Source organism: Homo sapiens, chromosome 7 (assembly GCF_000001405.40).
Source record: "Homo sapiens chromosome 7, GRCh38.p14 Primary Assembly".
In the NCBI taxonomy this organism is placed as follows: domain Eukaryota; kingdom Metazoa; phylum Chordata; class Mammalia; order Primates; family Hominidae; genus Homo; species Homo sapiens.
This window is the reverse complement of record NC_000007.14, coordinates 63741449-63760323: the sequence shown is the minus strand read 5'-3', so window position 1 is coordinate 63760323 and position 18875 is coordinate 63741449. Positions and strand designations below refer to the sequence as shown.

General features: G+C 61.9%; 7 protein-coding genes and 3 pseudogenes across 7 annotated transcripts; all 10 read right to left on the bottom strand.

Annotated features, from left to right (window-relative positions):
* Positions 1–66: 66 nt before the first annotated feature.
* Positions 67–1530, bottom strand: LOC124901647 (putative uncharacterized protein FLJ44672). Its single transcript, XM_047421144.1, has one exon. The coding sequence runs from the start codon at positions 605–607 to the stop codon at positions 74–76; it is 534 nt and encodes a 177-aa protein (XP_047277100.1). The 5' UTR covers positions 608–1530; the 3' UTR covers positions 67–73.
* A 2033-nt stretch (positions 1531–3563) lies between these two features.
* On the bottom strand, positions 3564–4517 carry LOC124901644 (putative uncharacterized protein FLJ44672). The gene has a single exon (XM_047421141.1). It carries the CDS (start codon positions 4251–4253, stop codon positions 3720–3722), a length of 534 nt encoding a protein of 177 aa, XP_047277097.1. The 5' UTR covers positions 4254–4517; the 3' UTR covers positions 3564–3719.
* Positions 4518–4826: 309 nt separating this feature from the next.
* Positions 4827–5526, bottom strand: LOC124901798 (putative uncharacterized protein FLJ92257). The gene has a single exon (XM_047421167.1). It carries the CDS (start codon positions 5322–5324, stop codon positions 4827–4829), a length of 498 nt encoding a protein of 165 aa, XP_047277123.1. The 5' UTR covers positions 5325–5526.
* On the bottom strand, positions 5525–6185 carry LOC124901650 (putative uncharacterized protein FLJ44672). The gene has a single exon (XM_047421147.1). It carries the CDS (start codon positions 6075–6077, stop codon positions 5544–5546), a length of 534 nt encoding a protein of 177 aa, XP_047277103.1. The 5' UTR covers positions 6078–6185; the 3' UTR covers positions 5525–5543.
* Positions 6186–6718: 533 nt separating this feature from the next.
* On the bottom strand, positions 6719–7976 carry LOC124901645 (putative uncharacterized protein FLJ44672). The gene has a single exon (XM_047421142.1). It carries the CDS (start codon positions 7850–7852, stop codon positions 7319–7321), a length of 534 nt encoding a protein of 177 aa, XP_047277098.1. The 5' UTR covers positions 7853–7976; the 3' UTR covers positions 6719–7318.
* Positions 7977–8425: 449 nt separating this feature from the next.
* Positions 8426–8914, bottom strand: LOC124901797 (putative uncharacterized protein FLJ44672; the record flags this gene model as incomplete). The annotated part of the gene is made up of 1 exon (XM_047421166.1): positions 8426–8914. A coding segment is annotated over one exon (489 nt), but the record flags the coding sequence as incomplete, so codon positions are not given.
* A 61-nt stretch (positions 8915–8975) lies between these two features.
* LOC124901649 (putative uncharacterized protein FLJ44672) lies at positions 8976–9793 on the bottom strand. Its single transcript, XM_047421146.1, has one exon. The coding sequence runs from the start codon at positions 9673–9675 to the stop codon at positions 9142–9144; it is 534 nt and encodes a 177-aa protein (XP_047277102.1). The 5' UTR covers positions 9676–9793; the 3' UTR covers positions 8976–9141.
* On the bottom strand, positions 9686–11144 carry LOC112267913 (vegetative cell wall protein gp1-like; annotated as a pseudogene).
* LOC112267999 (putative uncharacterized protein FLJ44672) lies at positions 11144–12346 on the bottom strand (annotated as a pseudogene).
* A 71-nt stretch (positions 12347–12417) lies between these two features.
* LOC124901642 (uncharacterized) lies at positions 12418–16337 on the bottom strand (annotated as a pseudogene).
* Positions 16338–18875: the final 2538 nt, after the last annotated feature.

Sequence of the window (18875 nt, the reverse complement as noted above, 5' to 3'; positions counted from 1 at the left end):
TCGGGAGGCAGGAGGCCAGGCCTGCAGAGGCCGACTGGAGGTCAAGTTCGGGGCCTGCAGAGGCCGCGGAAAGTCAGAAGCGGGGCCTGGGAAGGCCGCCGGGAGGCATGAGCTGGGCTGGGCTGAAAGAGGCCACTGGGAGACAGGAGGAGCTGGACCTGGAGAGACGGACTCGAGGAACTTTTGCACCTGGAGAGGCCGTCGAGAGGCCGGAGCTGGGCCTGGGGAGGCTGACTTGAGGACGACTTGGGCCTGCAGAGTCTGCCGGGAGGCAGGAGCTGTCCCTGGACAGGCCTACTTGACGACAGTCTGGTCCTGCAGAGGCTGCTGGGAGGAAGAGCTGGGCCTGGAGAGAACGACTGGAGGAAGTGCAGGATTTGGAGCCCATGCAAAGGAGCAAACGCCAGGCCGGGAGAGGCCGCCCTGACGCATGAGCTTGGCCTCCAGAGGGCCGTGAGGCAGGAGCTGGGCCTGCGGGGGCCGCCCCAAGGCGGGAGCCTGGCCCGAGGAGGCCACGGCGAGGCAAGAGGTGGGCGTGGAGGGCCCACTGTTGAGGTAGAGGCCGCCAACAGGCAGGGGCTGGGCCTGGAGAAGCCAACAGAGGCATGAACTGGGCCTCAACAGGCCAGCGTGAGGGAGGACTTCTCTCAGCGTGAGAGAGGCCAGTGTGAGGCAGGGCCTCACGCTGACCTCCCTCAGCGTGAGAGAGGCCAGTGTGAGGCAGGGCCTCACGCTGACCTCCCTCAGCGTGAGAGAGGCCAGTTTGAGGCAGGGGCCCACGCTGACCTCCCTCAGCGTGAGAGAGGCCAGTGTGAGGCAGGGGCTCACGCTGACCTCCCTCAGCGTGAGAGAGGCCAGTGTGAGGCAGGGGCTCACGCTGACCTCCCTCAGCGTGAGAGAGGCCAATGTGAGGCAGGGGCTCACGCCTCTGGAAAGGGTGCCAGAGGCATGAGTTGGGCCTCAACAGGCCACCGTGACGGAGGAGCTGGGCCGCACACAGGCTGCTGGGAGGCAGGCAGGGACTTGGTCCCGGGAGGCCGCCGTGAGGCGAGAGCTGGGCCTGGAGACGCCCCTGGGAGGCAAGAGCGGGGCCTGCAGAGGCTGTTCTCCAGCCAGACCTGGGCCTGTACAGGCCACCGGGAGGCAGGAGGTGGGACTGAGGAGCTTCGCTGGAGAAAGTTCAGGGTCTACAAAAGCCGGCGGGAGCTGGGCAGGAGCTGAGCCAAAAGAGCTTGCTTGCTGGGAGGCCGGAGCTGGGCCTGGAGAGGCTGCCTTCAGGACCACTTGGGCCTGCAGAGGCCGCCGGGAGGCCCAAGCTGGGCCTGGAGAAGCCCACCGACCGGAGGCCGTTTGGGGCCTGGAGACGCCGTCGGAGGGCAGGAGCTGAGCCTGGAGAGGCCACCGTGAGGCCTGAGCTGGGCCTGGGGAGCTTGGCTTGAGGAAGCTGTGGGCCGACCAAGGCCACCACGAGCTGGGCAGGCACTGAGTCCAAAGAGGTTGTTGGGAGGCAGGAGCCGGGCCTGCAGACGCAGCCGGGAGGAAGAGCTGGGCCCGGAGAGGACGCCGGGAGGCTGCAAGTGGGTCTGGAGAGGCCGACTTGAGGAGCTTCTGGGCCCGGAGAGGCCGCCGGAAGGGAAAAACTGGGCCGGGAAAGGCCGTTGTGAGGAATGAGCCCCATGGGCCTGAGGAGGCCACTGGCAGGTGGGAGCTGGGCCTGCCGAAGCGGCGGAGAGGCCGGAGCTTTGGACTCGGGAGGCCGCAGGCGAGAGCGAGCTGGGCGTGGAGAGTCCGCTGTGAGGCAGAGGCTGGGCCTGTGCAAGCTTTCGGGAGGCAGGAGGCCAGGCCTGCAGAGGCCGACTGGAGGTCAAGTTCGGGGCCTGCAGAGGCCGCGGAAAGTCAGAAGCGGGGCCTGGGAAGGCCGCCGGGAGGCATGAGCTGGGCTGGGCTGAAAGAGGCCACTGGGAGACAGGAGGAGCTGGACCTGGAGAGACGGACTCGAGGAACTTTTGCACCTGGAGAGGCCGCCGAGAGGCCGGAGCTGGGCCTGGGGAGGCTGACTTGAGGACGACTTGGGCCTGCAGAGTCTGCCGGGAGGCAGGAGCTGTCCCTGGACAGGCCTACTTGACGACAGTCTGGTCCTGCAGAGGCTGCTGGGAGGAAGAGCTGGGCCTGGAGAGAACGACTGGAGGAAGTGCAGGATTTGGAGCCCATGCAAAGGAGCAAACGCCAGGCCGGGAGAGGCCGCCCTGACGCATGAGCTTGGCCTCCGGAGGGCCGTGAGGCAGGAGCTGGGCCTGCGGGGGCCGCCCCAAGGCGGGAGCCTGGCCCGAGGAGGCCACGGCGAGGCAAGAGGTGGGCGTGGAGGGCCCACTGTTGAGGTAGAGGCCGCCAACAGGCAGGGGCTGGGCCTGGAGAAGCCAACAGAGGCATGAACTGGGCCTCAACAGGCCAGCGTGAGGGAGGACTTCTCTCAGCGTGAGAGAGGCCAGTGTGAGGCAGGGCCTCACGCTGACCTCCCTCAGCATGAGAGAGGCCAGTGTGAGGCAGGGCCTCACGCTGACCTCCCTCAGCGTGAGAGAGGCCAGTTTGAGGCAGGGGCCCACGCTGACCTCCCTCAGCGTGAGAGAGGCCAGTGTGAGGCAGGGGCCCACGCTGACCTCCCTCAGCGTGAGAGAGGCCAGTGTGAGGCAGGGGCTCACGCTGACCTCCCTCAGCGTGAGAGAGGCCAATGTGAGGCAGGGGCTCACGCCTCTGGAAAGGGTGCCAGAAGCATGAGTTGGGCCTCAACAGGCCACCGTGACGGAGGAGCTGGGCCGCACACAGGCTGCTGGGAGGCAGGCAGGGACTTGGTCCCGGGAGGCCGCCGTGAGGCGAGAGCTGGGCCTGGAGACGCCCCTGGGAGGCAAGAGCGGGGCCTGCAGAGGCTGTTCTCCAGCCAGACCTGGGCCTGTACAGGCCACCGGGAGGCAGGAGGTGGGACTGAGGAGCTTCGCTGGAGAAAGTTCAGGGTCTACAAAAGCCGGCGGGAGCTGGGCAGGAGCTGAGCCAAAAGAGCTTGCTTGCTGGGAGGCCGGAGCTGGGCCTGGAGAGGCTGACTTCAGGACCACTTGGGCCTGCAGAGGCCGCCGGGAGGCCCAAGCTGGGCCTGGAGAAGCCCACCGACCGGAGGCCGTTTGGGGCCTGGAGACGCCGTCGGAGGGCAGGAGCTGAGCCTGGAGAGGCCACCGTGAGGCCTGAGCTGGGCCTGGGGAGCTTGGCTTGAGGAAGCTGTGGGCCGACCAAGGCCACCACGAGCTGGGCAGGCACTGAGTCCAAAGAGGTTGTTGGGAGGCAGGAGCCGGGCCTGCAGACGGAGCCGGGAGGAAGAGCTGGGCCCGGAGAGGACGCCGGGAGGCTGCAAGTGGGTCTGGAGAGGCCGACTTGAGGAGCTTCTGGGCCCGGAGAGGCCGCCGGACGGGAAAAACTGGGCTGGGAAAGGCCGTTGTGAGGAATGAGCCCCATGGGCCTGAGGAGGCCACTGGCAGGTGGGAGCTGGGCCTGCCGAAGCGGCGAAGAGGCCGGAGCTTTGGACTCGGGAGGCCGCAGGCGAGAGCGAGCTGGGCGTGGAGAGTCCGCTGTGAGGCAGAGGCTGGGCCTGTGCAAGCTTTCGGGAGGCAGGAGGCCAGGCCTGCAGAGGCCGACTGGAGGTCAAGTTCGGGGCCTGCAGAGGCCGCGGAAAGTCAGAAGCGGGGCCTGGGAAGGCCGCCGGGAGGCATGAGCTGGGCTGGGCTGAAAGAGGCCACTGGGAGACAGGAGGAGCTGGACCTGGAGAGACGGACTCGAGGAACTTTTGCACCTGGAGAGGCCGCCGAGAGGCCGGAGCTGGGCCTGGGGAGGCTGACTTGAGGACGACTTGGGCCTGCAGAGTCTGCCGGGAGGCAGGAGCTGTCCCTGGACAGGCCTACTTGACGACAGTCTGGTCCTGCAGAGGCTGCTGGGAGGAAGAGCTGGGCCTGGAGAGAACGACTGGAGGAAGTGCAGGATTTGGAGCCCATGCAAAGGAGCAAACGCCAGGCCGGGAGAGGCCGCCCTGACACATGAGCTTGGCCTCCGGAGGGCCGTGAGGCAGGAGCTGGGCCTGCGGGAGCTGCCCCAAGGCGGGAGCCTGGCCCGAGGAGGCCACGGCGAGGCAAGAGGTGGGCGTGGAGGGCCCACTGTTGAGGTAGAGGCCGCCAACAGGCAGGGGCTGGGCCTGGAGAAGCCAACAGAGGCATGAACTGGGCCTCAACAGGCCAGCGTGAGGGAGGACTTCTCTCAGCGTGAGAGAGGCCAGTGTGAGGCAGGGCCTCACGCTGACCTCCCTCAGCGTGAGAGAGGCCAGTGTGAGGCAGGGCCTCACGCTGACCTCCCTCAGCGTGAGAGAGGCCAGTTTGAGGCAGGGGCCCACGCTGACCTCCCTCAGCGTGAGAGAGGCCAGTGTGAGGCAGGGGCCCACGCTGACCTCCCTCAGCGTGAGAGAGGCCAGTGTGAGGCAGGGGCTCACGCTGACCTCCCTCAGCGTGAGAGAGGCCAATGTGAGGCAGGGGCTCACGCCTCTGGAAAGGGTGCCAGAAGCATGAGTTGGGCCTCAACAGGCCACTGTGACAGAGGAGCTGGGCCGCACACAGGCTGCTGGGAGGCAGGCAGGGACTTGGTCCCGGGAGGCCGCCGTGAGGCGAGAGCTGGAACTGGAGACGCCCCTGGGAGGCAAGAGCGGGGCCTGCAGAGGCTGTACTCCAGCCAGACCTGGGCCTGTACAGGCCACCGGGAGGCAGGAGGTGGGACTGAGGAGCTTCGCTGGAGAAAGTTCAGGGTCTACAAAAACCGGCGGGAGCTGGGCAGGAGCTGAGCCAAAAGAGCTTGCTTGCTGGGAGGCCGGAGCTGGGCCTGGAGAGGCTGACTTCAGGACCACTTGGGCCTGCAGAGGCCGCCGGGAGGCCCAAGCTGGGCCTGGAGAAGCCCACCGACCGGAGGCCGTTTGGGGCCTGGAGACGCCGTCGGAGGGCAGGAGCTGAGCCTGGAGAGGCCACCGTGAGGCCTGAGCTGGGCCTGGGGAGCTTGGCTTGAGGAAGCTGTGGGCCGACCAAGGCCACCACGAGCTGGGCAGGCACTGAGTCCAAAGACGTTGTTGGGAGGCAGGAGTCGGGCCTGCAGACGCAGCCGGGAGGAAGAGCTGGGCCCGGAGAGGACGCCGGGAGGCTGCAAGTGGGTCTGGAGAGGCCGACTTGAGGAGCTTCTGGGCCCGGAGAGGCCGCCGGAAGGGAAAAACTGGGCCGGGAAAGGCCGTTGTGAGGAATGAGCCCCATGGGCCTGAAGAGGCCACTGGCAGGCGGGAGCTGGGCCTGCCGAAGCGGCGGAGAGGCCGGAGCTTTGGACTCGGGAGGCCGCAGGCGAGAGCGAGCTGGGCGTGGAGAGTCCGCTGTGAGGCAGAGGCTGGGCCTGTGCAAGCTTTCGGGAGGCAGGAGGCCAGGCCTGCAGAGGCCGACTGGAGGTCAAGTTCGGGGGCCTGCAGAGGCCGCGGAAAGTCAGAAGCGGGGCCTGGGAAGGCCGCCGGGAGGCATGAGCTGGGCTGGGCTGAAAGAGGCCACTGGGAGACAGGAGGAGCTGGACCTGGAGAGACGGACTCGAGGAACTTTTGCACCTGGAGAGGCCGCCGAGAGGCCGGAGCTGGGCCTGGGGAGGCTGACTTGAGGACGACTTGGGCCTGCAGAGTCTGCCGGGAGGCAGGAGCTGTCCCTGGACAGGCCTACTTGACGACAGTCTGGTCCTGCAGAGGCTGCTGGGAGGAAGAGCTGGGCCTGGAGAGAACGACTGGAGGAAGTGCAGGATTTGGAGCCCATGCAAAGGAGCAAACGCCAGGCCGGGAGAGGCCGCCCTGACGCATGAGCTTGGCCTCCAGAGGGCCGTGAGGCAGGAGCTGGGCCTGCGGGGGCCGCCCCAAGGCGGGAGCCTGGCCCGAGGAGGCCACGGCGAGGCAAGAGGTGGGCGTGGAGGGCCCACTGTTGAGGTAGAGGCCGCCAACAGGCAGGGGCTGGGCCTGGAGAAGCCAACAGAGGCATGAACTGGGCCTCAACAGGCCAGCGTGAGGGAGGACTTCTCTCAGCGTGAGAGAGGCCAGTGTGAGGCAGGGCCTCACGCTGACCTCCCTCAGCTTGAGAGAGGCCAGTGTGAGGCAGGGGCCCACGCTGACCTCCCTCAGCGTGAGAGAGGCCAGTGTGAGGCAGGGGCTCACGCTGACCTCCCTCAGCGTGAGAGAGGCCAGTGTGAGACAGGGGCTCACGCTGACCTCCCTCAGTGTGAGAGAGGCCAATGTGAGGCAGGGGCTCACGCCTCTGGAAAGGGTGCCAGAGGCATGAGTTGGGCCTCAACAGGCCACCGTGACGGAGGAGCTGGGCCGCACACAGGCTGCTGGGAGGCAGGCAGGGACTTGGTCCCGGGAGGCCGCCGTGAGGCGAGAGCTGGGCCTGGAGACGCCCCTGGGAGGCAAGAGCGGGGCCTGCAGAGGCTGTTCTCCAGCCAGACCTGGGCCTGTACAGGCCACCGGGAGGCAGGAGGTGGGACTGAGGAGCTTCGCTGGAGAAAGTTCAGGGTCTACAAAAGCCGGCGGGAGCTGGGCAGGAGCTGAGCCAAAAGAGCTTGCTTGCTGGGAGGCCGGAGCTGGGCCTGGAGAGGCTGCCTTCAGGACCACATGGGCCTGCAGAGGCCGCCGGGAGGCCCAAGCTGGGCCTGGAGAAGCCCACCGACCGGAGGCCGTTTGGGGCCTGGAGACGCCGTCGGAGGGCAGGAGCTGAGCCTGGAGAGGCCACCGTGAGGCCTGAGCTGGGCCTGGGGAGCTTGGCTTGAGGAAGCTGTGGGCCGACCAAGGCCACCAGGAGCTGGGCAGGCACTGAGTCCAAAGAGGTTGTTGGGAGGCAGGAGCCGGGCCTGCAGATGCAGCCGGGAGGAAGAGCTGGGCCCGGAGAGGACGCCGGGAGGCTGCAAGTGGGTCTGGAGAGGCCGACTTGAGGAGCTTCTGGGCCCGGAGAGGCCGCCGGAAGGGAAAAACTGGGCCGGGAAAGGCCGTTGTGAGGAATGAGCCCCATGGGCCTGAGGAGGCCACTGGCAGGCGGGAGCTGGGCCTGCCGAAGCGGCGGAGAGGCCGGAGCTTTGGACTCGGGAGGCCGCAGGCGAGAGCGAGCTGGGCGTGGAGGGTCCGCTGTGAGGCACAGGCTGGGCCTGTGCAAGCTTTCGGGAGGCAGGAGGCCAGGCCTGCAGAGGCCGACTGGAGGTCAAGTTCGGGGCCTGCAGAGGCCGCGGAAAGTCAGAAGCGGGGCCTGGGAAGGCCGCCGGGAGGCATGAGCTGGGCTGGGCTGAAAGAGGCCACTGGGAGACAGGAGGAGCTGGACCTGGAGAGACGGACTCGAGGAACTTTTGCACCTGGAGAGGCCGCCGAGAGGCCGGAGTTGGGCCTGGGGAGGCTGACTTGAGGACGACTTGGGCCTGCAGAGTCTGCCGGGAGGCAGGAGCTGTCCCTGGACAGGCCTACTTGACGACAGTCTGGTCCTGCAGAGGCTGCTGGGAGGAAGAGCTGGGCCTGGAGAGAACGACTGGAGGAAGTACAGGATTTGGAGCCCATGCAAAGGAGCAAACGCCAGGCCGGGAGAGGCCGCCCTGACGCATGAGCTTGGCCTCTGGAGGGCCGTGAGGCAGGAGCTGGGCCTGCGGGGGCCGCCCCAAGGCGGGAGCCTGGCCCGAGGAGGCCACGGCGAGGCAAGAGGTGGGCGTGGAGGGCCCACTGTTGAGGTAGAGGCCGCCAACAGGCAGGGGCTGGGCCTGGAGAAGCCAACAGAGGCATGAACTGGGCCTCAACAGGCCAGCGTGAGGGAGGACTTCTCTCAGCGTGAGAGAGGCCAGTGTGAGGCAGGGCCTCACGCTGACCTCCCTCAGCGTGAGAGAGGCCAGTGTGAGGCAGGGCCTCACGCTGACCTCCCTCAGCGTGAGAGAGGCCAGTGTGAGGCAGGGGCCCACGCTGACCTCCCTCAGCGTGAGAGAGGCCAGTGTGAGGCAGGGGCCCACGCTGACCTCCCTCAGCGTGAGAGAGGCCAGTGTGAGGCAGGGGCTCACGCTGACCTCCCTCAGTGTGAGAGAGTCCAATGTGAGGCAGGGGCTCACGCCTCTGGAAAGGGTGCCAGAGGCATGAGTTGGGCCTCAACAGGCCACCATGACGGAGGAGCTGGGCCGCACACAGGCTGCTGGGAGGCAGGCAGGGACTTGGTCCCGGGAGGCCGCCGTGAGGCGAGAGCTGGGCCTGGAGACGCCCCTGGGAGGCAAGAGCGGGGCCTTCAGAGGCTGTTCTCCAGCCAGACCTGGGCCTGTACAGGCCACCGGGAGGCAGGAGGTGGGACTGAGGAGCTTCGCTGGAGAAAGTTCAGGGTCTATAAAAGCCGGCGGGAGCTGGGCAGGAGCTGAGCCAAAAGAGCTTGCTTGCTGGGAGGCCGGAGCTGGGCCTGGAGAGGCTGACTTCAGGACCACTTGGGCCTGCAGAGGCCGCCGGGAGGCCCAAGCTGGGCCTGGAGAAGCCCACCGACCGGAGGCTGTTTGGGGCCTGGAGACGCCGTCGGAGGGCAGGAGCTGAGCCTGGAGAGGCCACCGTGAGGCCTGAGCTGGGCCTGGGGAGCTTGGCTTGAGGAAGCTGTGGGCCGACCAAGGCCACCACGAGCTGGGCAGGCACTGAGTCCAAAGAGGTTGTTGGGAGGCAGGAGCCGGGCCTGCAGACGCAGCCGGGAGGAAGAGCTGGGCCCGGAGAGGACGCCAGGAGGCTGCAAGTGGGTCTGGAGAGGCCGACTTGAGGAGCTTCTGGGCCCGGAGAGGCCGCCGGAAGGGAAAAACTGGGCCGGGAAAGGCCGTTGTGAGGAATGAGCCCCCTGGGCCTGAGGAGGCCACTGGCAGGCGGGAGCTGGGCCTGCCGAAGCGGCGGAGAGGCCGGAGCTTTGGACTCGGGAGGCCGCAGGCGAGAGCGAGCTGGGCGTGGAGGGTCCGCTGTGAGGCAGAGGCTGGGCCTGTGCAAGCTTTCGGGAGGCAGGAGGCCAGGCCTGCAGAGGCCGACTGGAGGTCAAGTTCGGGGCCTGCAGAGGCCGCGGAAAGTCAGAAGCGGGGCCTGGGAAGGCCGCCGGGAGGCATGAGCTGGGCTGGGCTGAAAGAGGCCACTGGGAGACAGGAGGAGCTGGACCTGGAGAGACGGACTCGAGGAACTTTTGCACCTGGAGAGGCCGCCGAGAGGCCGGAGCTGGGCCTGGGGAGGCTGACTTGAGGACGACTTGGGCCTGCAGAGTCTGCCGGGAGGCAGGAGCTGTCCCTGGACAGGCCTACTTGACGACAGTCTGGTCCTGCAGAGGCTGCTGGGAGGAAGAGCTGGGCCTGGAGAGAACGACTGGAGGAAGTGCAGGATTTGGAGCCCATGCAAAGGAGCAAACGCCAGGCCGGGAGAGGCCGCCCTGACGCATGAGCTTGGCCTCCGGAGGGCCGTGAGGCAGGAGCTGGGCCTGCGGGGGCCGCCCCAAGGTGGGAGCCTGGCCCGAGGAGGCCACGGCGAGGCAAGAGGTGGGCGTGGAGGGCCCACTGTTGAGGTAGAGGCCGCCAACAGGCAGGGGCTGGGCCTGGAGAAGCCAACAGAGGCATGAACTGGGCCTCAACAGGCCAGCGTGAGGGAGGACTTCTCTCAGCGTGAGAGAGGCCAGTGTGAGGCAGGGCCTCACGCTGACCTCCCTCAGCGTGAGAGAGGCCAGTGTGAGGCAGGGCCTCACGATGACCTCCCTCAGCGTGAGAGAGGCCAGTGTGAGGCAGGGGCCCACGCTGACCTCCCTCAGCGTGAGAGAGGCCAGTGTGAGGCAGGGGCTCACGCTGACCTCCCTCAGCGTGAGAGAGGCCAGTGTGAGGCAGGGGCTCACGCTGACCTCCCTCAGTGTGAGAGAGGCCAATGTGAGGCAGGGGCTCACGCCTCTGGAAAGGGTGCCAGAGGCATGAGTTGGGCCTCAACAGGCCACCATGACGGAGGAGCTGGGCCGCACACAGGCTGCTGGGAGGCAGGCAGGGACTTGGTCCCGGGAGGCTGCCGTGAGGCGAGAGCTGGGCCTGGAGACACCCCTGGGAGGCAAGAGCGGGGCCTGCAGAGGCTGTTCTCCAGCCAGACCTGGGCCTGTACAGGCCACCGGGAGGCAGGAGGTGGGACTGAGGAGCTTCGCTGGAGAAAGTTCAGGGTCTACAAAAGCCGGCGGGAGCTGGGCAGGAGCTGAGCCAAAAGAGCTTGCTTGCTGGGAGGCCGGAGCTGGGCCTGGAGAGGCTGACTTCAGGACCACTTGGGCCTGCAGAGGCCGCCGGGAGGCCCAAGCTGGGCCTGGAGAAGCCCACCGACCGGAGGCCGTTTGGGGCCTGGAGACGCCGTCAGAGGGCAGGAGCTGAGCCTGGAGAGGCCACCGTGAGGCCTGAGCTGGGCCTGGGGAGCTTGGCTTGAGGAAGCTGTGGGCCGACCAAGGCCACCACGAGCTGGGCAGGCACTGAGTCCAAAGAGGTTGTTGGGAGGCAGGAGTCGGGCCTGCAGACGCAGCCGGGAGGAAGAGCTGGGCCCGGAGAGGACGCCGGGAGGCTGCAAGTGGGTCTGGAGAGGCCGACTTGAGGAGCTTCTGGGCCCGGAGAGGCCGCCGGAAGAGAAAAACTGGGCCTGGAAAGGCCGTTGTGAGGAATGAGCCCCATGGGCCTGAAGAGGCCACTGGTAGGCGGAAGTTGGGCCTGCCGAAGTGGCGGAGAGGCAGGAGCTTTGGACTCGGGAGGCCGCAGTGAGGCGAGAGCGAGCTGGGCGTGGAGAGTCCGCTGTGAGGCAGAGGCTGGGCCTGTGCAAGCCTTCGGGAGGCAGGAGGCCGGGCCTGGAGAGGCCGACTGGAGGTCAAGTTCGGGACCTGCAGAGGCTGTGGAAAGTCAAAAGCGGGGCCTGGGAAGGCAGCTGGGAGGCATGAGCTGGCCTGGGCTGAAAGAGGCCACTGGGAGACAGGAGGAGCTGGACCTGGAGAGACGGACTCGAGGAACTTTTGCACTTGGAGAGGCCGCCAAGAGGCCAGAGCTGGGCCTGGGGAGGCTGACTTGAGGATGACTTGGGCCTACAGAGGCCACCAGGAGGCAGGAGCTGTCCCTAGACAGGCCTACTTGACGACAGTCTGGTCCTGCAGAGGCTGCCGGTAGGAAGAGTTCGGCCCGGAGAGGACGCCGGGAGGCTGCAAGTGTGTCTGGAGAGGCTGACTTGAGGAGCTTCTGGGCCCGGAGAGGCCGCCGGAAGGGAAAAACTGGGCTTGGAAAGGCCGTTGTGAGGAATGAGCCCTATGGGCCTGAAGAGACCACTGGCAGGCGGGAGCTGGGTCTGCCGAAGCGGCCGAGAGGCAGGAGCTTTGGACTCGGGAGGCCGCAGTGAGGCGAGACCTAGCTGTTCGTGGAGAGTCCACTGTGAGGCAGATGCTGGGCCTGTGCAAGCCTTTGGGAGGCAGGAGGCCGAGCCTGGAGAGGCTGACTGGACGTCAAGTTCGGGGCCTGCAGAGGCCACCGAAAGTCAAAAGCGGGGCCTGGGAAGGCCGCCGGGAGGTATGAGCTGGGCTGGGCCGAAAGAGGCCACTGGGAGACAGGAGGAGCTGGGTCTGGAGAGGCTGACTCGAGGAACTTTTGAAACTGGAGAGGCCGCCGAGAGGCCGGAGCTAGGCCTAGGGAGGCTGACTTGAGGATGACTTGGGCCTGCAGAGGCTGCCAGGAGGCAGGAATTGGCTCTGGACAGGCCGACTTGACAGTCTGGGCCTGCAGAGGCCGCCGGGAGGAAGAGCTCAGCCTGGAGAGGCCGACTGGAGGAAGTCCAGGGCCTGGAGAGGATGCAAAGCAGTAAACGCTAGGCCTGGAAAGGCTGCCCTGAGGCACGGGCTTCGCCTACAGAGGCCACTGGGAGGCAGGAGCTGGGCCCGCAGAGGCTCCCGAGAGGGAGGAGCATTGCCCCAGGAGGCCACAGTTAGGAAGAGATGGGCCTGGAGAGCCCACTGTGAGGTAGAGTCCGGGCCTGTAGAGGCCACCGTCAGGCAGGGGCTGCGCCCGTTGAGGCCACAAGAGGCATGAGCTGGGCCTCAACAGGCCAGTGTGAGGCAGGAGCTGACAGTTGGGTAGGTTGCAAGAGGCATGAGTTGGGCCAAAAGAGACCACTGTGAGGGAGGAGCTTGGCCTGTACAAGCTGCCGAAAGGCAGGAACAGCTTTGGACTGGAGAGGCCACAGACAGGGAAGAGCTGGGCGTGGAGAGTCTGCTGTGAGGCAGAGGCTGGGCCTGTACATGCCCTTGGGAAGCAGGAGGCTGGGCCTGGAGAGGCCGACTTGAAGTTTTGCTCCTGCAGAGACCACTTAGAGGCAAGAGCTGGGTGTGGAGAGGCTGACTTGAGGTCGATTTTGGTGTGCAGAAGCCACCGGTAGCTAGGAGTTGGCCCTGGAGAGGCTGATTTGAGAAAAATTTTGGCCTGTAGAGGCCACTGGGAGGGAGAGCTTGGCCTGGAGAGGCCAACTAGAGTAAGTTCAGGGCTTGGAGAGTATGCACAAAAGGAAATGCTCAGCCTGGAAAGTGTGCTGTGAGGCATTAGCTTGGCCTACACAGCACTTGGAGGCAGGAGCTGGGCCTGCAGAGGGTGACTTCAGGACGATTTTGGCCTGCAGAGGCCTTTGGGAGGAAGAGCTTGCCCTGGACTGGCTGACTGGAGGAAGTTTTGGGACAGGAGTATGCGTCAAAAAGCAAAAGTTAGGCTAGGAAAGGCCACTTCGCAGCACGATCTTGGCCTACAAAGGCAATTGCGAGGCAGGAACTGGGCCTGTAGAGGCTGCTTGAAAGGCAGGAGCTTGGCCTTAGGAGGCTATACTCAGGCAAGTGGTGGGCCTGGAGGGTCTACTGTGTGGTAAGAGTCTGGGCCTGTGTAGGCCGACATGAGGCAGGAGCTGAGTTAGGAGAGGCCAACTTTTGGAGAATTTGGGCCTGCAGAGGCTGCCAGGAGGCAAGAGCTGTGCCTGGAGAGTCCGTCTTCTAGCATGAGCTGGGCCTAAAGAGACCATTGTGAGGCAGCAGCTGCCTGGGAGGCAGGCAGATTCGTGGCCTGGGGAGGCCACCGTGAGGCAAATGCTCAGTTTTCGGAGGATGCCGTGAGGCAGGGAGAAACTTGGCTTTCGGTGGCCGCAGTGAGGGAATAGTTTGATTGCTGAGGCTGCTGGGAGGCCGAAGGTGGGCCTGGAAAGCTTTACTTTAAGAAGTCTGTGGCCTACAGAGGCTGCCAGCAGCTCAGCAGGATTTGGGCCAAAGGAGGTTGTTGTGAGGCAGGAGACGGGCCTGTAGACGCACCGGGAGGATGAGCTTGTCCTGGCGATGCCGAGTTAAGCACATTCTGGGCCTGGACAGGCTGCAAAAGGCAAAAGCTGTGCCTGGAAAAGTCGCCATGGGGCATGAGCTTGGCCTAAAGAGGCCATTGCAAGGCAGGAGCTGGGCCCGTAGAGGCTGCCGAAAGGCAGGAGCTCCGCCTGAGGATGCCACAGTGAGACACCATCTGGGTCTGGAGGGTCCACTGTGAGGCAGAGGCTGGCCTGTAGAGTCCGACAGTAGACAGAAGTTGAGCAAAAGGCTAATTTCAGGAAGTTTTGGGCTTCAAGAGTCAGCCAGGAGGCAGGCACTAGGCCTGGAAATGGCCCGACAGTCATGAGTTGGGCCTAAATGGGCCACTGTGAGGGAGGAGCTGTGCCTGTTGAGGCTGCTGGCAGGCAGGCAGAAACTTGGCCTGGAGCAGCTTCCATGAGACAAGAGCTGGGCCTGGAGAAGCCCCTGAGAGGTAAGAGGAGGGCCTGCAGAGGCTGTTCTCAAGTCAAAGCTGGGCCTGTTCATGCCACCGGGAAGCAGAAGGTGGGCCTGGAGAGTTTTACTTGAGGAAGTTTTGGGCCTACATTTGCTGCCGTGAGCTGGACAGGAACTGGGCCAAAAAAGGCTGTTGTGAGGCAGCTGTTGTGAGGCAGCAGTTGTGCCTGTAGACTCAGCCAAGAGGAAGAGTTGGGCCTGGAGAAGCCGCCATGAGACAGAGGTTGGGCCTGTAGACACTGACAGGAGGCAGGAGCTGGGCCTGGAGAGGTCAACTTGAGGAGATTTTGGGCCTTCATAGGCCACCAGGAGGCAGCAGTTGGGACTAGAGAGGCTGACTTGAGGAAGTTTTGGGCCTGGAGATGACGTTTTGGGCCTGGAGATGACGTCCTGGGACAGGAGCTGGGCCTGGAGAGGCCACCGTGAGGCATGAGTTGGATGTAGAGAGGCCAGTGTGAGGCAAGACCTGGGCCTGTCTAGGCTGCTGGGAGACAGGCAGGAATCTGGCCAGGGAAGGTTGCCATGAGACAAAAGTTGGGCCTGGAAAGGCCCTTGTGAGGCATCAGCTTGGCCTAAAGAGGCCACTGGGTGGCAGGAGCTGGGTGTGTAGAAGCTGCTGAAAGGTTGGGAGCTTGGCTTGGGGGGTCCACAGTGAGGCAGATACTGGGCCTGAAGAATCTGCTGTGAGGCAGATGTTGTGACTGTAGAGGCCGACGGGAGGCAGAGGCTGGGCCTGGAGAGGCCAAGATGCAGGAGCTGGGCCTGGAGAGGCTGCCAAGAAGCATGAACTGGGCCTAAACAGGCCAGTGTGAGGCAAGAGATCAGCCTGTAGAGAGGCCTACTTGAGGAAGATTTTGGCCTGGAGAGACTGTCAGGGGCAGGAGCTGGGCCTGTTGAGCCTGCTGGGAGGCAGGCAGGAACTTGGCCAGGGATGACCTCTGTGAGGCAAGAGCTGAGCCTAGAGAGGCCACTGTCTTTCAGGAGCTGGGCCTATTCAAGCTGCCGGGAGGCAGAAGGTTGTGCTGGAAAACTTGATGTGAGAAAGTTTTGGGCCTATAAAGGCTGCCAGGAGCTGGGCAGGAGCTGAGCCGAAAGAGGTTGTTGTGAGGTAGGAGGTGGGCCTGGAGATGCAGCCGGGAGGAAGAGCTGGACCTGGAGAGGCCCACTTGAGGAAGTTCTGGGTCTGGAGATGCTGCCAAAAGGCAAAAGCTGGGCCAGAATGGCCACTGTGAGGCATAAGCTTGCCCTAGAGAGGCCATTGAGGCAGGAGTGGGGCCTGTAGAGGCTGCTGAAAGGCAGGAGCTTGGCCTAGGGGGCTGCAGTGAGGCACATGCTGGGCTGGGAAAATCTGCTGTGAGGCAGACGTTGAGCCTGTAGAGGCTGACGGAAGGCACAAGTTGGGCCTGGAATGGCAGACTTGAGAAAGTTCTCGGTCTAGAGAAGCTGCTGGGATGCAGGAGCTGTGCCTGGAGAGGCCGACTTGAGGAAGTTTCCGGCACGGACAGCCTGTCGGGGGGCAGGAGCTGGGCCTGGAGAGGCCACCGTGAGGCATGAGCTGGTCCTAATGAGATTAGTGTGAGGCAGGATCTGGGCCTGTTGAGGCTGCTGGGAGGCAGGTAGGACCTTGTTTGGGGAAGGCCTCTGTGAGGCAAAAGCTGGGCCTGGAGAGGCCATTGTCACGCAGGAGCTGGGCCTGTCCAGGCCATTGGGAGGCAGAAGGTGGGCCTGGAAAGCTTGACTTGAGGCAGTTTGGGGCCTACAAAGGCCAGTAGGAGCTGGGCAGGAGCTGAGCCAAAAGAGGTTGTTCTGAGGCAGGAGTTGGACCTCCAGACACAGTCAGAAGAAAGAGCACAGCCTGTAGAGGCCACCTGGGGGCAGCAGCTGGGCCTAGAGATGCCAACGAAAGGCAGGAGCTGGGCCTTGAGAGGCTGACTTGTGGACATTTTGGCCCTGGATTTTGTGGCCTGGACTTACGGACATTTGGGCCTCCTGCAAAGAGGCAGGAGCTGGGACTAAAGAGGCCATTGTAAGGCAGGAGCTGGGCCTGTACAGGCTGCCAGGAGTCAGAAGATGGGCCTCAAGAGGCCACTGTAAAACAGGAGCTGGGTCTTGGAAGGTGGCCGTGAGGCAAAAGCTGGCCCTTGGGAGGCCAATGAGTGGCAGGAGCTGGGCCTGGTGAGGTCGACTTGAGAAAGTTCAGGGCCTGGAGAGAAGGCTGGGAGGCAGGAGCTGGGTCTAAAGAGGCCATTGTAACGATGGAGCTGTGCCTGTGGAGGCTGTTGTGAGGCAGTAGCCTCATCTGCGGAGACTGTCGTGAGATATGGTATGGGCCTAAATAGGCCATTGTGAGTCATGAGCTTGGTCTGTAGCGGCTGAGTGGAGAAAGTTCTGGGCCTGAAGAGGCTGCTGGGAGGCAGGAGCTGGGCCAAAAGAGCCAAGCACATTACATTTATTAGGTACTTTATTTCCCCTATTATGTTGTAAGATATAATGAAATTATAGAATTCACCATAATGTAGAATCAGTGGCCGTGTTAAGCCTGTTTTCCTGCGACTAGATGGTCCCATCCTCTCAGTGTGATGGGAGAAAGTGACAGATCATCAGGCATTAGATTCTCATAGGGACAGCGCAACCTAGATCCCTCACATGCACAGTTCACAAATAGGGTGTGAGCTCCTATGAGAATCTAATGCTGCTGCTGATCTGAGAGGAGGAGCAGCTCAGGCAGGAATGTGAGCAGAGGGGAGTGGCTGTACATACAGATGAAGCTTCCCTCACTTGACACCACTCACCTCCTGCTGTGTGGCTCCTTACAGCTCCATGGCTCAGGGGTTGGGGACCCCTGCTCAAGTGCATCCAAAAGGACCCTTCCCACAGCAGTCTTCATAGTGGTCAAGTGCAGCAACCACTTAACTCCCAAGGCATGTGCCTCAGCTGGCATTTCATCACAATCAACAGTAAGTGGTAGCTTGAGTCATTGTGAGGTCACTTCCTGGAAATCACCAGCATTCCATTTCCCATTGGCAAGGAGCTCAGCACTGCCCCTTGGATAACCAAACCTATGCCCAAATCCCATCTGTGTGGGTTTATCTCCTGGGACCCTTCCTAGCATATTAGAGTCCAATCAGGAGACATAAACCATTCAAAGGTTTAAAGTGGTAAAATTTAACACAGAGAATTATTCATTATAACAGGGGAACAGCATAATGAGAGATTGGCTAGCACAAAGTAAAGAGAACTCTGGAAAATAAAAGACTAGCACAGGCCAGACATCATGGCTCATGCCTGAAATTCCAGCAATTTCAGAAGCCAACGCAGGAGGATTGCTTGAGGCCAGGAGCTAGAGACCGGCCTGGACAGCACAGCAAGACCCTGTCTCTAACCAAAAAAAGAAAAAAATTAGCTGGGAGTGCTGGTGCACACTTGCAGTCCCAGCTACTTGGGAAGCTGACATGGGAGGGTAGTTTGAGCATGGGAGGTCAAGGCTGCAGTGAGTCATGATTATGCCATTACAGTCATCAAGCCTGGGTGACAGAGCAAGACCCTGTCTCAAAGAACAAAACAACAACAACCATTTACAGACAGAAAAGAAATAGAGCTAATAAGCTAAGGAAAGATGTTAAAATGTGACAAAGTAACATGAGGTCTTTTATCTATTTAAAATAATGAAAAAAACATTAAATTATAATACCCTGTGCTGGCAGAGGTGCAGTGAAATGGACACTTTCTTATACTATGAGGAGTGTTTAAGTAGTACATAGCCTTCCAGGGTAAAGGTTGGCAATTTTTTAAAATAATAGAGACAGGGTCTCACCTTACTGCCTCCTCCAACTCTTGGCCTCAAGCAATCGTCCTGTCTTAGCCTCCAAAGGGCTGGGATTATAGCTGGGAGGCACCCAAAACCTTGTCAGTTTACATCAAGGGCAATGAGAATGTCCATTCACCATTACTCACAGTAATCTTGCTTCTGGAAATACCTTGGGGAGACAATTCAATCTAAACAAAAGGTCAACTGTACAAACACAGTGAAAATCTAGGAGTAATTGAAGACAGAGTAGTTAAATGGAATAAACAGTTATAAGAAATTAAACTATGATATTTATAGGCACCTGGTAAAAGGTCACTTCATGTTAGCTGCTACTTTTTTGAGACAGGGTGTCACTCTGTCACCCAGACTGGAGTGCAGAGGCCTGATCATGACTCACTGCAGTCTCAGCTTCCCTGGGCTCAAGTGATCTTCCCACCTCAGCCTCCCAAGTAGCTGGGACTACAGGAACACATCACCACACTAGGCTAATTCATGTATTTTTCTATAGAGATGGTGACTCCCTTTCTTTCCGAGACCTGTCTCAAACTCTTGACCTCAAGCCATCCTCCTGCCTCAGCCTCCCAAAGTATTGTGATTAATGGTGTGAGCCACCACACTTGGCCAGTTGCTACTTTTATCAATATTATTATTCCACTCCATTAAAAATTATTTGTCATTACAAATTATTATTTTAAAGGCTATGGAACAATATGTGTCCCACAGCATAATTGTAAAACCACATACAGTTGTCCCTTGGTATACAGAGAGAATTAGTTCCAGCCACCTATCTCTGCATATAACAAAATCCATGCATACTCACGTTTCGCAGTCATCCCTCTGGAACCCACATATAGAAAAAGTCCAAATATGAGTTGGGCATAGAGGCAAGCACCTATAGTCTCAGCAACTTGGGAGGCTGAGGTGGGAGGATTGCTTGAGCCTGGGAGGTTGAGACTGAAGACAGCTGTGATAGCACCACCACACTCCAGCCTGGACAACTGAGCAAGACCTTGTCTTGGGGGGGGAAAAAAAAAACAAAACAGGTTAGAAATTCTAATGAGATCTGTTGGGTAAAATTCCATATAAGCGAAAAATAAATGAAGCAAATTGTGATAAATCAGTACAACGGACTTTTTGGAGTCTCTGACAATAAAGGTAAGAAAAATGCA

Bases quoted from the DNA above. Each gene is read 5' to 3' on its own strand.
- LOC124901647 (XM_047421144.1), bottom strand. From the start codon at position 607: ATGCCTCTGTTGGCTTCTCCAGGCCCAGCCCCTGCCTGTTGGCGGCCT.
- LOC124901644 (XM_047421141.1), bottom strand. From the start codon at position 4,253: ATGCCTCTGTTGGCTTCTCCAGGCCCAGCCCCTGCCTGTTGGCGGCCT.
- LOC124901798 (XM_047421167.1), bottom strand. From the start codon at position 5,324: ATGGGGCTCATTCCTCACAACGGCCTTTCCCGGCCCAGTTTTTCCCTT.
- LOC124901650 (XM_047421147.1), bottom strand. From the start codon at position 6,077: ATGCCTCTGTTGGCTTCTCCAGGCCCAGCCCCTGCCTGTTGGCGGCCT.
- LOC124901645 (XM_047421142.1), bottom strand. From the start codon at position 7,852: ATGCCTCTGTTGGCTTCTCCAGGCCCAGCCCCTGCCTGTTGGCGGCCT.
- LOC124901649 (XM_047421146.1), bottom strand. From the start codon at position 9,675: ATGCCTCTGTTGGCTTCTCCAGGCCCAGCCCCTGCCTGTTGGCGGCCT.